This window comes from Homo sapiens, chromosome 15 (genome assembly GCF_000001405.40).
Source record: "Homo sapiens chromosome 15, GRCh38.p14 Primary Assembly".
NCBI classification, from domain to species: Eukaryota; Metazoa; Chordata; class Mammalia; order Primates; family Hominidae; genus Homo; species Homo sapiens.
In genome coordinates, this window is record NC_000015.10 from 41,462,648 (window position 1) to 41,479,387 (window position 16,740).

Here is a 16,740-nt window from a genome sequence, read left to right on the forward strand (position 1 = left end):
TCTAGAGCATTTTGTCACTCCTGTATTTCCCCATAAGCCTCCCAGCCCTAGGCAACCACTAATCTCCTTTCTGTCTCTCTAGATTTGCCTATTCTGGATATGTTTATTATTATTGTTGTTGTTATCAAGACAGGGTCTCGTTCTGTCACCCAGGCTGGAGTGCTGTGGCATGATTATAGCTCATTGAAGCCTCGACCTCCTGTGTTCAAGCAATCCTCCCACCTCAGCCTCCCAAGTAGCTGGGACTATAGGCGTGTGCCACCACCTGGCCAATTTTTTAAACTTTTATTAAAGAAGAGGTCTCGCTATGTTGTCCAGGCTATTCTTGAACTCCTAGCCTCAAGCAGTCCTCCTGCCTTGGCCTCCCAAAGTGTTTAGATTACAGGCATTAGCCACCATGGCCGACCTGGATATTTTATATAAATGAAATCATAATATGTAGTCTTTTGTGACTGACTTCTTTCACTTAGTATGTTTTTGAGGTTTATCCATTTAGCATGTATTAGTACTTCACTCCTTTTTATGTCTGAGTAATATTCCATTTTATGTATATACCACATTTTGTTTATCTGTCCATCTGTTGATTTATATTTGTGGTGTTTCCTCCTTTTTGCTATTGTGACTGGTGCTGCTGTGAACGTTTATATACAACAATTTGAGTACCTATTTTCAGTTCTTTTGAGTGTATACTGGAAAGTAGAATTGCTGGCTGGTACGGTAACTCTTTCTAACTTTTTGAGAAACTGCAGCTGCATCATTTTAGATTTCCCATCGGCAATAAGTGTACTAGTTTCTCCACCTCTTCACTAACACTTTAACACTTGTCTTTTCCTTTTTTTGTTGTTGTTGAGACAGGGTCTCACTCTGTCGCCCAGGCTAGCTAGAGTTCAGTGGTATGATCATGGCTGGCTGCAGCCTCAATCTCCTGGGCTCAAGCAGTTCTCCCACCTCAGCCTGCCAAGTAGCTGGGACTACAAGCATGTACCACCATGTCCAGCCAATTTTTAAAATTTTTGTAGAGACAGGGTCTCACCATGTTGTCCAGGCTAGTCTCCAACTCCTGGACTCAAGTGATCCTCCTGCCTTGGCCTCCCAAAGTACTGGAATTACAGGTGTGAGCCACCGTGCCTGGCCTCCCTTTTTGTGATAATAGCTATCCTGGTGGGTGTGAAATGGTCTTTCATTGTGTGTTTTTTGTTGTTGTTTGTTTGTTGTTTGTTTTCAAGACGGAGTCTCACTCTGTCGCCAGGCTGGAGTGCAGTGGCGTGATCTTGGCTCACTGCAACCTCCGACTCCTGGGTTCAAGCAATTCTTCTGCCTCAGCCTCCCGAGTAGCTGGGATTACAGGCACATGCCACCATGCCCAGCTAATTTTTGTATTTTTAGTGGAGATGGGGTTTCACCATTTTGGCCAGGATGGTCTCAATCTCCTGACCTCGTGATCCGTCCACCTTGGTTTCCCAAAGTGCTGGGATTACAGGTGTGAGCCACTGCACCGGGCCTGTTTGTTTGTTTGTTTATTTTTTGAGATGGAATCTCACTCTGTCGCCCAGGCTAGAGTGGCGCAGATGAGTACAGCAATACCCTATATATGTTCTCTTTCTCTCTCTTTTTTTTTTTTTGAAACGGATTCTTGCTCTGTCGCTAGGCTGGAGTGCAGTGGCGCGATCTTGGCTCATTGCAACCTCCCTCCCGGATTAAAGCGATTCTCCTGCCTCAGCCTCCCAAGTAGCTGGGACTACAAGTGTGCGCCACCATGCCCAGCTAATTTTTGTATTTTTAGTAGAGACGGGGTTTCACCATGTTGGCCAGGATGGTCTCGATCTCTTGATCCCCCCGCCTCGGCCTCCCAAAATGCTGGGATTACAGGTGTGAGCCCCTGTGCCTGGCCCGTAGTCTCTCATTTTAAACATATTCCAACTTAATGCTATCAAATATTTTATATTTTGTTGTAATTAACATATTAAATATTTTTAATGTACTTAAAAGGTACACCAGAGTTTCTTGCAGGAAAGCCAAAATATCTATTAGCTCCTTTCCCTTAGTTCCTTTCTCCTATCTAATAGAAATCAGTTTTTATATACATTTCATTGCTACTTAAAAACCAAATATCTTTTAACCAGATTTGAAATCAAGAAAAAACTAAAAACAGCCAAAAAGAAAGAAAAGAAAGAAAAGAAGAAAAAGCAAGAAGAGGAGCAAGAAAAGAAAAAACTGACACAGATTCAAGAATCTCAGGTAGGAGATTCAGTGTTCCTCATTGTCCAAAGAATAAACCTGTTTTGAGTGTGTGTGTGTGTGTGTGTGTGTGTGTGTGTGTAAAAGGTGGATTTATATTAATCAGCCTAAGTTTATAAGACTTGTGACATGGTTTCATTAATCTCTGGACATATCACCATTAGCTGTGCTGTTAAATCCTTAGCACTTTTTCCTTTGCTTTCCTTTTTCCTTTTCTTTTTTCTTTCTTCTTTCTTTTTCCCTTTTCTTCCCCTCCCTTCCTCCTTCCCCCTTCCCTTCCTCCTTCCCTTCCTCTTCCCTTTCCCTGGTCTCATTATGTTGCCCGGGCTAGAATACAGTGGCTATTCACTGGCACAGTCATAACACACTGAAGCCTCAAACTCCTAGTCTCAAGCAGTCCTCCTGAGTTGCTGAGACTACAGGCATATGCTACCGTGCCCGGCTTTCACTGAAGTCTGCATTTAAAAAGCAGCCCTCAACTGCAGTGACTCACATGTGTAATCCCAGCACTTTGAGAGGCCGAGGCAGACAGATCACTCAAGGCCAGGAGTTTGAGACCAGCCTGGCCAACGTGGCGAAATCCTGTCTCTACTAAAAATACAAAAATTAGCCTGGCGTGGTGGCTTATGCCTTTAATCCCAGCTACTCGGGGGGCTGAGGCACAAGAATTGCTTGAACCTCAGAAGCGGAGGTTGCAGTGAGCTGAGATCATGCCATGGCCCTCCAGCCTGGGCAGAAGAGCGAGGCTCTGTTTTAAAAAAAAAAAGCAGCCCACTAGTGAGTGACCATCCCTTAAGGAAAAGTTGGTAAACAACCTGTCCTAGGTAGCCAGATGCTTATGATGTTTACTTAGATGTATATCATCCTTTACTTGGTATAAATATAGCTGGGAAAATAATCTCTGTATTTATCATAAATGAGACTCCATCTCAGAAAAACAACAAAAAAAGATAATGTGGGGCTGAGTGTAGTGGCTTATGCCTGTAATCCCAACATTAGCTGTGTTGTAGTGTGTTCTTCCAGAAAGAGTTTATTCGGATAATTCTTGAACTTGGAATAGGCATTTTAGACAGGGCTTACTTTACTGCGCTATCCTCTTTGTCCACAAGAGGATGCTCTCTCCCCTTACATAAAAGCTCTAAGTTTTTGCAGCCCATATAGATTGATGTTGGAGGACTAAATGCATTAAGTAGGTTTAGAGAATCTTATCAGCTGTTGGTAAAAAGGGCCATTCTATATATCCTTCCCTTCCTAGGTAACATCCCACAACAAGGAACGGCGTTCCAAGCGGGATGAGAAACTAGACAAGAAATCTCAAGCCATGGAGGAGCTAAAAGCAGAGCGAGAAAAACGAAAGAACAGAACAGGTAAGCGAGGGAAATATAATGGCTACTTGTGTCTTTATATGATTTGACTTCCTGGTGTCCATTTTCATTTTGCCCTCTTGTTATATCTTTCTCATATAAAATTCCAGCACATACCCAGAATAGTATAAACATCCACAAACCCATCATCCAGCCACAGCAGTCAGCTCTTGGCCAGTCTTGTTAAATCTATAATCCTTTCATCAGATTATTTTAAAGCAAATACCAGCATTATTATATTTTAACCATAAATATTTCAGTATGTTCCTCTAAAAGATAAGTACTTTTGTTTTAAACCTAACTATAATACCATTATTACACCTAGAAATAACAATGAACTCTTTGTCAAATATCTAGTCAGTGTTCAAATTTTTCTATTTGTTTTGTAATTTAAAAAACAAGATTTTAAAAACATTTCTATTTGTTTTGTAATTTAAAAAACAAGACCACTTGAATCAGGATCTTAAAGTCCATACATTGTGATCTGTTAATACGTCCCTTAAGGCATTTAATCTGTATGTTTTCTTCCCCATCTCTTTGCCCTGCCTTGCAGCGTTATTTGCTGAAGGAACTGGGTCATTTGTCTTCTGGTTTCTCACATTGCTGACTACATCTCGTTTTTGTTGTTGAATGTGTTTCTGGTCCCTTGGGTTTCCTGTAAATGGTTAGTTAGAGCTACAGAATTGGTCAGATTTGGGTTTGTTCTGTTGTTGTCATTGTTGCTTGTTCTTGGGGAAGGCTGATTTTTAGGTAGTGGTATGTATTTCCATCAGGAGACACATGATATCTGACTGTCTCTCAGTTTGTGATGTTAACAATCCTGTCAGTTAGCTCTTACCACAATAATGTGAAGTAACAAACTAACCCCTGTTCTGCTCATGCATCTGAAGTTCAACTGCAATTCACCCTCCTGATGGCATGAGTTCAGCTGGAATTATCTCCAAGCTATAGGTGGTAGCCAGGTCTGTTCTACCTCTCTCTTCCTCCCTGGGCCAGTAAACCCCGAGCACTTTTATATGGTGATGACAGAAGTATAAAAGGGGCAAGCAAAGACACACATGCCTCTTAGGGCCTAGACTTGGAATTGGCATAGTGTCACTATGGGGCCGGGAAGAATGACTAAGGCATATAGCAAAGGACATGGGTATAGAGATGGGTGAAGAATTAGAAAGGATACTGTGGGGGCCGGTCGTGGTGCCTCACAATTGTAATCCTAGCACTTTGGGAGGCCAAGGTGGGCGGATCACCTGAGGTCAGGAGCTTGAGACCAGCCTGGCAAACATGGTGAAACCCCATCTCTACAAAAAATACAAAAATTAGCTGGCCATGGTTGTGCATGCCTGTAATCCCAGCTCCTCAGGAGGCTGAGGCAGGAGAATCCCTTGAACCCGGGAGACGGAGGTTGCAGTGAGCTGAGATTCCGCCACTGCGCTCCAGCCTGGACAACAGAGTGAGACTCAATCTTAAAAAAAAAACAACAAAAGATAATGTGGGGCTGAGTGTAGTGGCTCACGCTTGTAATCCCAGCACTTCGGGAGGCTGAGGCTGGAGGATTGCTTGAGGCCAGGAGTTCAAGACCGGCCTGGCCAACATGGTGCAAGCCCATCTCTACTAAAAATAATAAAATTAGCCAGGCCAGGCACGGTGGCTCACACCTGTAATCCCAGCACTTTGTGAGGTCAGAGCAGGCAGATCACGTGAGGTCTGGAGTTGGAGACCAGCCTGGCCAACAGAGTGAAATCCCGTCTCTACTAAAAGTACAAAAATTAGTCAGGCGTGGTAGCACATGCCTGTAATCCCAGCTACTTGTGGGGCTGAGGCACTGAAAATCACTTGAACCCGGGAGGTGGAGGTTGCAGTGAGCCAAGATCCTACCATTGCACTCCAGCCTGGGCAACAAGAGTGAGACTCTGTCTCAAAAAAAAAGAAAAAGAAATAATAACGTGTTCTGTCCTAGTAGCCACTGATGGTCATTACCTAGATAATTTAATTCATTAGGAGTTGCAAAATGGTGATATTTCGAATCTGTCATTCTTTCCTCATTCATTATCTAGCCTGCTTCTATAAAGAGAAACCTTTTTTTTTTGAGACGGAGTCTCGCTCTGTCGCCCAGGTTGGAGTGCAGTGGCGCGATCTCGGCTCACTGCAAGCTCCGCCTCCTGGGTTCACACCATTCTCCTGCCTCAGCCTCCTGAGTAGCTGGGACTACAGGCACCTGCCACCACGCCCAGCTAATTTTTTGTATTTTTAGTAGAGAAGGGGTTTCACCATGTTAGCCAGGATGGTCTTGATCTCCTGACCTTGTGATCCGCCCGCCTCGGCCTCCCAAAGTGCTGGGATTACAGGTGTGAGCCACCGCACCCGGCCTAAAGAGAAACTTCTAATCAGCTATTTAGTTACCCCCCAGGCACATTTTGAACAGGAAAGGCAAGATAAATGCTTGATTAATTTTCCTTTCGTTTACCAGTTTTTGAAAGAATGAGATAGTTCCTGGCAAGGTACAGTGGCTCACATGTGTAATTCAAGACCAGCCTGGGCAACATAGTGAGACCCTGTTTCTGCAATATTTTAAAGAGAGAGAGAGAGATAGTTTTTAGCAACTTCCAAAGATGACTGATGGGTTTTATTTATTTTGAATATCCTTGTGAACTCATCATTTTTAACGTGCTTTATGTGTTTTAATCCATTGCAGTTATTTTTCCTTCCTTCCATCCATCTTTTTCTCTCTCTCTTTTTTGAGACAGGATCTCTCTCTGTTACTCAGTCTGGAGTGCAGTGGCGCGATCTCGGCTCATTGCAACCTTCACCTCCCGGGTTCAAGCGATTCTCCCACCTCAGCCTCTTGAGTAGCTGAGACTACATGCGTGCACCACCACCTAATTTTGTTTTGTATTTTTAGTAGAGATGGGGTTTAGCCATGTTGGCCAGGGTGGTCTTGAACTCCTGACCTTAAGTGATCCGCCTTGCCTTGGCCTCCCAAAGTGCATGAGCCAACACTCCCAGCCTAAAATTTTTTTATATTATTCTTTTTTCTTTTTAAATCGTAAGTACACAGATTAACCTGCCATCTTAGATTAATGGTAGCATATTATACACAGTTTTCTCTCTCTTTTTTTTTTAGCCACCACTCCTGGTTTGTTTTTTGTATTTTTGGTAGAGATGCAGATTCACCATGTTGCCCAGGCTGGTCCCAAACCCCTGAGCTCAAGTGATCTACCCACCTCGACCTCCCAAAGTGCTGGGATTACAGGCATGAGTCACCATGCCTGGCCACGTTCCTTTTTTTTTTTTTGAGATGGAGTCTCGCTCTGTTGCCCAGGCTGGAGTGCAGTGGTATACAGTCTTGGCTCACTGCAACCTCCGCCTCCCGGGTTCAAGCGATTCTCCTGCCTCAGCCTCCCAAGTAGCTGGGATAACAGGTGCCGGCCACAATGCCTGGCTAATTTTTGTATTTTAGTAGAGACAGAGTTTCACCATGTTGACCAAGCTGGTCTCGAACTCCTGACCTCAAGTGATCCACCTGCCTCTGCCTCCCAAAGTGCTGAGATTACAGGCGTAAGCCACCGCACCCGTCCCCACGTTCCTTTTTTATAGCTGCATAGTAGTTCATTGGTAGATGTACCAGTGGTGATTTAGCCACTCTCCTATTTTAAATTTTCCTCAGAAGCTTCTGAAGTCATCATGAGTCTTTCCCCCTCTTTCCTCCCCATAGTCAAGTGTCTTGAGTGCCATAAAAGAGAACTGTCAGTAGTGTTGGTGACCCTTTCTGCCCACCTAGTATCAATCTTCCAGCCCTTTTTTCATCTGCTGGGGCCTGACATTTGGCACCTGAATAATTTTAACTCTGTGTTTTAACTCATTTCTGTATATACCCCAAGTTAGCACAATCCAGTCTAGAGAGGACGGAGCTGTGTATTTGAGTCCTCTTCCATTTCCAGTTCTTTTTCAAGGATGAATTCATTTTCTTGTTGAGAAAACCTAGGTAAACATCTCTTCTTTCTTTCTAGCTGAGCTCCTTGCCAAAAAACAGCCATTAAAAACCAGTGAGGTCTACTCTGATGATGAAGAGGAGGAAGAGGATGACAAATCCAGTGAAAAGTCAGACCGCTCATCACGAACATCATCGTCTGATGAAGAAGAGGAGTAAGCTCTTGTACATTTTGGTCTAGTAGGCAGGATAGGTGGGTTTTTGAGGAAGAGCTTGGTATCGTTTCCAAAATCTCCCTGGTTGGGCCACTAACTCTGACATGGTTACCTTTGGTTTGCTGAACTGAGTTCCCCAGCACGTCAGCCCATTCATTTGGCTGCTAGCCTGTACGCTTAGACATTTCACCTGGGCCTGGAAGGTAGGAACTGACTTCGTGTCATTCTCAGATTGGCCTGGAGCTTTCATTCATTTTCTTTTTTTTTTTTTTTTTTTTTTTTTTGAGACGGAGTCTCGCTCTGTCGCCCAGGCTGGAGTGCAGTGGCAGGATCTCGGCTCACTGCAAGCTCCGCCTCCCGGGTTCACGCCATTCTCTTGCCTCAGCCTCCCAAGTAGCTGGGACTATAGGCGCCCGCCACTACGCCCGGCTAATTTTTTGTATTTTTAATAGAGACAGGGTTTCACTGTTTTAGCCGGGATGGTCTCGATCTCCTGACCTCGTGATCCGCCCGCCTCGGCCTCCCAAAGTGCTGGGATTACAGGCTCATTCATTTTCTTACTCTGATGGGTTATCTAAGATGGCAGCCTCATTTGAAACAGCTCATACTACTGGTCAGGAACAGGATCCTATTACAAGTCTTTGCTGGTGCTTCATTTACTTCTCCTCCTAGGCCAGTCACATGTACTTTGGTTAAGTTTTGAGGAGTTGATATTATTTTTCTGTCTTGTTCTGTTTTTATGATGAACATTTTTTCCAGTGCCCCTTTGTTCCTCTTAGGAAAGAAGAGATCCCTCCCAAATCCCAACCAGTTTCCTTACCTGAAGAATTGAATCGGGTTCGATTATCACGGCATAAGCTAGAACGCTGGTGTCACATGCCCTTCTTTGCTAAAACTGTCACAGGATGTTTTGTGCGGATTGGCATCGGAAACCACAACAGCAAACCAGTTTACCGGGTTGGTATTTCTTCCCTTGGACAATTGTCCATGCTTTCAGTATAATTAGTCTCAACTGAGGGCAGGAGCTACTGAAAAAATCGATCACTCTTCTCTCAGCATTTGATGGAAAGTAGACTCCAAGTGGGATCCCCATAGAGCAGTGAGGTGCCCAGGAATCCTTCATGACTTGTTGCCAAGAGGAGGACTTGGAGCCCAAGGGCCTGGAAGATTTGGATGTAGAATAATTTTCTCTATTCTCCCTTCAGTATAAAAGGGAGAAGGGAGGCATCTATGAAGTGTTCATTGGGAGTTACATAATCTAAAAGATTTGTTCATTTGAAAAACCAATGAATGAAAAGTTTCATGTTGCATACCAAGTGACTTCTACACCAGGGAATTGTATTGAGGTTAAAAAAAACCCTCCAGACTAATACAGGTTATTATGTAGGTTCCAGCACTGCTTCTGTGGTCTAGGTGGACTGGGCACAGTGGCTTACTCCTGTAATCCCAACACTTTGGGATTTATTTATTTATTTATTTATATTTTATTTTACCATTATTATTATTTTTTTATTTTTATTTTTTGAGACGGAGTCTCATTCTGTCACCCAGGCTGGAGTGCAATGGCGTGGTCTTGGCTCACTGCAACCTCCGCCTCCCGGGTTCAAGTGATTCTCCCGCCTCAGCCTCCCAAGTAGCTGGGACTACAGGCGCATGCCACCACACCTGGCTAATTTTTGTATTTTTAGTAGAGACGGGGTTTCACCATGTTGGCGAGGCTGGTCTTGAACTCTTGACCTTGTGATCCACCTGCCTCAGCCTCCCAAAGTGCTGGCGTGAGCCACCGCACCTGGCCTATTTTTATTTTTATTTATTTGTTGTTTTTTTTTTTCAGACAGAGTTTCGCTTTTGTCGCCCAGGCTGGAGTGCAATGGCACGATCTTGGCTCACTGCAACCTCCGCCTCCTGGGTTCAAGTAATTCCCCTGCCTCAGCCTCCCGAGTAGCTAGTGTTACAGGCACCCGCCACCGTGCCTGGCTACTGTTTGTATTTTTAGTAGAGATGGGGTTTCACCATGTTGGCCAGGCTGGTCTTGAACTCCTGACCTCAGGTGATCCACCTGTCTCGGCCTCCCAAAGTGCTGGGATTATTGACATGAGCCACTGAGCCCGGCCTTATTTTTAATTTTTTGTTTTTTATTTTTGGAGACAGAGTCTTACCCCGTTGCCCAGGCTGGAGTGCAGTGGCACGCTCTTGGCTCACTGCAGCCTCTGCCTCCTGGGTTCAAGCGATTCTCATGCCTCAGCCTCCAAGTAGCTGGGACTACAGGCATGCGCCACCACGCCTGGCTGATTTTTTTTTAGACTGAGTCTCTTTTTTTTTTTTTTTAGACGGAGTCTCGCTATGTGGCCCAGGCTGGAGTTCAGTGGCACGATCTCGGCTCACTGCAAACTCTGGCTCCCAGGTTCACGCCATTCTCCTGTCTCAGCCTCCCCAGTAGCTGGGACTACAGGCGCCCGCAACCACGCCTGGTTAATTTTTTGTATTTTTAGTGGAGATGGGGTTTCACCGTGTTAGCCAGGATGGTCTTGATCTCCTAACCTCGTGATCCGCCCGCCTCGGCCTCCCAAAGTGCTGGGATTACAGGCGTGAGCCACCGCACCCGGCCTCACTTTGGGATTTAAAAAAAAATTTTTGTAGCAACAGCCTCTCTCTGTTTCTTATGCTGGTCTCAAACTCCGGGCCTCAAGTGATGTTCTGGCCTCAGCCTCCTAAAGTGCTTGGTGTTGGTTTTTTGTTTTGTTTTGTTTTGTTTTTTTGAGACGGAGTCTCGCCCTGTCATCCAGGCTGGAGTGCAGTGGCGCGATCTTGGCTTACTGCAAGCTCCCACTCCTGGGTTCACGCCATTCTCCTGCCTCAGCCTCCCGAGTAGCTGGGACTACAGGCGCCCACCACCATGCCAGCTAATTTTTTGTATTTTTAGTAGAGACGGGGTTTCACCTTGTTAGCCAGGATGGTCTCGATCTCCTGACTTCGTGATCTGCCTTCCTTGGCCTCCCAAAATGCTGGGATTACAGGTGTGAGCCACCACGCCCGGCCCAGGTGTTGGGTTTTTTTTTTTTTTTTGAGACAGTGTCTTAACCATGTTGCCCAGGCTAATCCGGAACTCCTGGACTCAAGCCATCTTCCTGCCTCGGTTTTCGAAAGTGCTAGGTTTGCAGGTATGAGACACTGTGCCCAGCCTGTTTGAGATAGGATCTCGCCCTGTTGCCCAGGCTAGCATGCAGCGGTGTGATCAGAGCTCATTGCAACCTTGAACTCCTGGACTCAAACGATCCTCCTACAACAGCCTCTTGAGTAGCTAGGACTGTAGGTGCACACCACTATGCCCAACTAATTTTTTTTTTCTTTTTTGTAGAGACTGGGTCTCGGCTGGGCGCAGTGGCTCACGCCTGTAATCCCAGTACTTTGGGAGGCAGGTGGATCACGAGGTCAGGAGATCGAGACCATCCTGGCTAACATGGTGAAACCCCTCTCTACTAAAAATACAAAAAATTAGCTTGGCGTGGTGGCATGTGCCTGTAGTCCCGGCTACTTGGGCGGCTGAGGCAGGAGAATCACTTGAACCAGGGAGGCAGAGGTTGCAGTGAGCCAAAATCATGCCATTGCACTCCAGCCTGGGCGACAGAGCAAGACTTTGTCTCAAAAACAAAAAACAAAAAAAAAGAGAGACTGGGTCTCTCTGTGTTGCTGAGGTTGGTCTCAAATTCCTGGCTTCAAGTAATCCTCCTACCTCAGCCTCCCAAAGTGCTGGAATTACAGGCCTGAACCTCGGCGCCCAGCCTGGATTGTTTTTGTTTTGTTTTATTCTTGTCTGGTTTTTATGTGTGTTATCCCCTTGTATGAGGACCTGCAGCCATGCCATATCCTGAAATGCTTGGCAACAGAAACTGACCTACATGGTCTTCACATTTGGTTGATAAAAATCAACTGGTGAAATCCCAAATACATCCCTTGTAAGTTAGAATTAGTTGGAGGAAAAGCTTCCAGTGGGCCCCATCGGGCTCCTCTTCTGCTGGCACTTTCTCCTCCTGGGCACAAGGCTCCCTGTGCTTGGCCATCTGGATTCTAAACCTGAGAAACCTTTCTCAGAACCCCTGGCAGCTGTGGACTCTACTCAGCACTCTATCAGTTGTCTGCGTTCAGGTAGAGAGACGCAAAGGAAGAGTGTTGTGGAAAGCTCCGGAAGAGTCTGGTTTTGACTGGCGTCTCTGTCCTCTCACTTAGGTCGCTGAGATTACGGGTGTTGTGGAAACTGCCAAAGTTTACCAACTAGGTGGCACCAGAACAAACAAAGGGCTGCAACTACGGTAGGAGGCACTTCTGGGGTAGCTTCTGCTTCCACTTCAAACAGGCACTGGCTTTGGGGGCTGCTGTTCTCTCTGTGTGATGTTCCTTGTTACCATGAACGCTATGTATGCAATCCCCACAAGGTACACTTGGAGGGAGACTTGTATTCCATCTTTGTCTATAGGGAAGGTAGGATATTCTCTCCTCTAGAGGGAACCAAATATATGAAGGGGTAGGACACAGAGAAAGGAAATGTGTGGTTATGAGAGACCCTCCCAGAGCCTCGCTGGCATTTCCTTGGCAAGCATGTCCAAGAGGCTTGCTTCTGGTTCTGGCTCTATGTCATAACCTCATCTGTGACAAGAAAGATCATTTTTATGGACTTCATTTCCTCTTCAGTAAAATGAAAGTGTCATTCACTCAGCAAATATTTACCGAATGTACAGTGTGCCAGGCACTGCTCTAGGTGCCATCATAGTGCACTGCAGCTTGGAACTCCTGGGCTCAGGTGATCCTCCCACCTCAGTCTCCTGAGGAGCTGTGACCACAGGCATGTAACCCTGTCCCAGGCTCTGTTGCATATTGTTGATGTTGACTGTAATGGATTTTATTGTAAATTGACTTTTGAAGCACTGACCAAGCCCATTTGGTTTCCAGTGCTAGCTTTGGGATCTCAATCTTGGCAGCTCATTAAAACAGCCTGGGATGATTTTATAGGGTAGCTAGGATTGAGAACCACTGCAATAGGTATATATAGGTGGTACATAGTCTGGTAAGGTTGCTTTGCTTGTACTACAGTCAACATGCACATTTCTTGGAGATGCTGTCTCTCTTTTATGTAGGCATGGCAATGACCAACGCGTGTTCCGTTTAGAGTTTGTCTCAAACCAAGAATTCACCGAAAGTGAGTTTATGAAGTGGAAAGAAGCGGTACGTGGCTAGAGATTACCTAGCAGTTGTTCGTGCACGTTGAGAAAATATCTTTCCAAAATCCCTTACTAATAATCTCGTATCGTGTTTTTGATCCAGATGTTCTCTGCTGGCATGCAGTTGCCCACTCTAGATGAAATCAATAAAAAGGAATTATCTATTAAAGAAGCTCTTAATTATAAATTCAATGATCAGGACATTGAAGAGGTAAGAAAACTGGTGCCCCAGAACCCGGAGGTTCATCAAGAACCAGTGTTGAGAGAACATGATTCTCTTTTATTTCCCTATATCTTGACATTTTTAGCTATGCATGAAAATGAGGGAATACTAATATTACTACCTGATTATTTATAGTTCATCAAGCTTTTTTCTATACATTCTCATGTCCGGATGAGGCTAACATAGACTGAAGTGTATTCAGAGTTCAGATGAGACAACAAATGAGGCTACATACACTAAAGTGTATTTAGGGTTCAGGGGTCTGTATTCTGCTAGGCTTGATCCTTCAAGAGTTTTCCTTTTCTAAAACATCTTGGTAAAATTATTTGATCTCTGTTCTCTTGGACAGTGGCTAGCCTTACACTACCAGGCCCTTGGGCTGCTGTTTCTTGGTGCATGTTCCTTCAGCCTGTCCCAGAAGAATCTCCGTGACCCAGGAAGCAGCATAGTATCCCTTGGAATGAACCCGCTCTCTCTCTCTCTGGGGCATGACACTGCTGTAGGAAGAGCAGCCCCTTTGTAACTAGCTGTTTGCATCCAAAATGGGCTCACTTAGCCTGTCTACAAAAATAGCTTAGGAATACCTCACTGCTGGTATCTCCTCTCTGGTACAGATTGTAAAAGAGAAAGAAAGGTTCAGAAAAGCTCCACCCAACTACGCTATGAAGAAGACTCAGCTACTGAAGGAAAAGGTAAGGAGTTGTACTCGAGCCTCTTTCCTCATCCTGTAAGGAGATGTGGAAATCAAACTTGTTCATCCTCTGCCAAGTTAGTGGTGGTAGGATTGGGAGAAAATTCTGGGCTCGATTATAAGCAACACAGTGTGTTCTTGGCACCTGGGCAACGTTCCTTGGCCATTTTCCATTCCCTAAATTCAAACTCATCTTCTGCGTGTGTGCCAGTCTTCTTACTTTCTAGTCACTTCAGTTTCCTTTGTAATAAAATAGACCCTGGGGTGGTATTTAACACTGAGTCTGAACAGACAGATGACACTGTCAAGGCCACCTGTGGCTGGTGATTTTCCATTCTTCACACTGGGTTGGGGTGGGCCTTGTTATGGTGGTTTAGCCACCCTGTGAGGCCTGGGGTTCTACTGCCACCAGGGACCCACAGCCAGGTAGCTGTATGGGAAGGTGTTCCCCACTGTACTGTGCACTACTATAATATAAATTATATCTTGTATTTGTAAAGTACTTCTACAGTATTCTTCCACATCTCCTGTCCTTTGCTCACCACATGAGATATCTTTGCCTGTGCTGGAAGTAAGGGGATACTTGATATGGAGTCAGTTGTATGTAGCCAAGAACGAACTCACACATCTCTCTATGTGTAGGCCATGGCTGAGGACCTGGGGGATCAGGACAAGGCCAAACAAATCCAAGATCAACTGAATGAGCTGGAGGAACGGGCAGAGGCCCTGGACCGCCAGCGGACCAAGAACATATCCGCTATCAGGTGTGTTATGGAGCCTATTTTTGGCCCGCAGACCTTGGCCAAAATTATCAGGCAAGCCTGTGGCCTGTACACTCTGTGCTGCACTGACCCCATAGATATCTGAGTTCAGGGCTCAGTGGTTCCCTCCCTCCCTTGTTTCACAGCCACTGACTCATCCCTCTTACCCCACAGTTACATCAACCAGCGGAACCGGGAGTGGAACATTGTAGAGTCTGAGAAGGCCCTTGTGGTAAGAAAACTTTATCTGAATCACTAAAACAAAGTTAATTAATAAACCATGACATCTTTTCTACATCTTGCCTAAGTTTATTTTTTAATTATTGAAATAACGTAGGCACTTAACGTATACACACTCTCTCTGTATGTCCACGTACATCGATATAATTTATTCATAATGAAAAGCAGCAGTCTTCTGCCCTGTCCTACCTCTTCCCACCCTTAGATTCTACTCCACAGGTATTTGTTTTTTCTCAATTTCTGTTTCTTGGTTGTTTCCCCCATATCTACTCTGGTATTCTTGAAGGGAAAAGGATAATATGCCGGGCGCGGTGTCTCACGCCTGTAATCCCAGCACTTTGGGAGGCCGAGGCGGGTGGATCACCTGGGGTCAGGAGTTTGAAACCAGCCTGGCCAGCATGACAAAACCCTGTCTCTCCTAAAAATACAAAAATGAGCCGGACATGGTGGTGCACGCCTGTAATCCCAGCTACTTGGGAGGCTGAGGCACGAGAATCACTTGAACCTGGGATGTGGAGATTGCAGTGAGCTGTCGTGCCACTGCACTTTAGCCTGGGCAAGAGAGCGAGAATCCATTTAAAAAATAAAAAAAATTAGCCGGGCATGGTGGCTCACGCCTGTAATCCCAGCACTTTGGGAGGCTGAGGTGGGTGGATCACCTGAGGTCAGGAGTTTGAGAGCAGCCTGGCCAACATGGCGAAACCCTGTCTCTACTAAAAATACAAAAATTAGCTGGGTTTGGTGGCTTGCACCTATAGTCCCAGCTGCTGGAGAGGCTGAGGCAGGAGAATCACTTGAACCTGAGAGGCAGCAGATGCAATGAGCTGAGATTGCGTCACTGCACTTCAGCCTAGGCGACAGGGCGAGACTCCATCTCAAAAAAAATTAAAAAAAAAAAAAAAGGAAAAGGATAATAGCTTTTTTTTTTTTCAGTCCCGTGCAAAGACTTATTTGCCTGTGAGCTTATGGTGAATGAGAGGAGGGGCTGGAGGTGCAGTTCTGTGGTGCATGCTTTCTGTTTCAGGCTGAAAGTCACAACATGAAAAACCAACAGATGGATCCCTTTACTCGGCGGCAGTGCAAGCCTACCATCGTTTCTAATGTGAGTGCTGAAAGAGGACATTTTAGTCAGGACCTAGATTCTAGGACACAAAATGAATTCCATTAGGAAATTAATAATGAAGTTAAAAATAATGTTTTCTTAGCTGGGATTTGCTTGTCTGAAGCTCTTGGGTCTGGATACTTCCTTTTTTATCTTGCTATAGGACATATCGGTAGTGAAAACGTGGCATGGATTTATAAAAACCTAGTGACTGATCCTCCTGTATCAGGGTGGGTTTACAGTGCAGCAGACATTAGTAATGTGTCCCTTAGCTAGGGCCTGGCTGGGCTGGGCTTGGCTTTCAAGCTTGTAATTGCCTTTTTTTTTTTTTTTTTTGCTGCTTTGAGGAAAACCCCACTAGCTGCTGATGGGTCGGCTGTGGTGCTTGTGATGTTAGTTTGGTAGGTGGGAAAGAATCTGGCAGTAGGACTCTGTGAGTGTCAAGCAATCTCTAAAACAACTTATTTTCTCTCTCAGTCCAGAGACCCAGCTGTTCAAGCTGCCATCTTGGCCCAGCTGAATGCAAAATACGGTTCTGGAGTGTTACCAGATGCTCCAAAGGAAATGAGCAAGGCAAGTGTGGTACCACCCTGTTGCCTGCTGAGTGAGGCTGCTGGCTGAGATACCGAACAAGTACCTTGTCTAGTTTGGGCTTGATTTTTCCACCTTGAGGAACAGGGAGTCCCTCTTGGAGTCCCTTCTCCATCCCAGTTATTTACAGATATAATCAACAGACAACCTTAATTCCAAACCTGACACCAC

At 45.3% G+C, this 16,740-nt stretch overlaps 1 protein-coding gene across 1 annotated transcript in view; it reads left to right on the forward strand.

The window, feature by feature from the left end:
- RTF1 (RTF1 homolog, Paf1/RNA polymerase II complex component) overlaps positions 1-16,740 on the forward strand; it is a 66,469-nt gene that overhangs the window by 45,553 nt on the left and 4,176 nt on the right. Inside the window, exons 5-16 of the mRNA NM_015138.5 lie at positions 2,124-2,238; positions 3,494-3,605; positions 7,610-7,745; positions 8,525-8,702; positions 11,973-12,055; positions 12,878-12,965; positions 13,065-13,172; positions 13,799-13,876; positions 14,518-14,639; positions 14,811-14,868; positions 15,901-15,978; positions 16,456-16,551. Of these exons, the coding sequence (NP_055953.3) occupies positions 2,124-2,238; positions 3,494-3,605; positions 7,610-7,745; positions 8,525-8,702; positions 11,973-12,055; positions 12,878-12,965; positions 13,065-13,172; positions 13,799-13,876; positions 14,518-14,639; positions 14,811-14,868; positions 15,901-15,978; positions 16,456-16,551 (1,252 nt within the window). The remainder of the gene's footprint in view (positions 1-2,123; positions 2,239-3,493; positions 3,606-7,609; positions 7,746-8,524; positions 8,703-11,972; positions 12,056-12,877; positions 12,966-13,064; positions 13,173-13,798; positions 13,877-14,517; positions 14,640-14,810; positions 14,869-15,900; positions 15,979-16,455; positions 16,552-16,740) is intronic.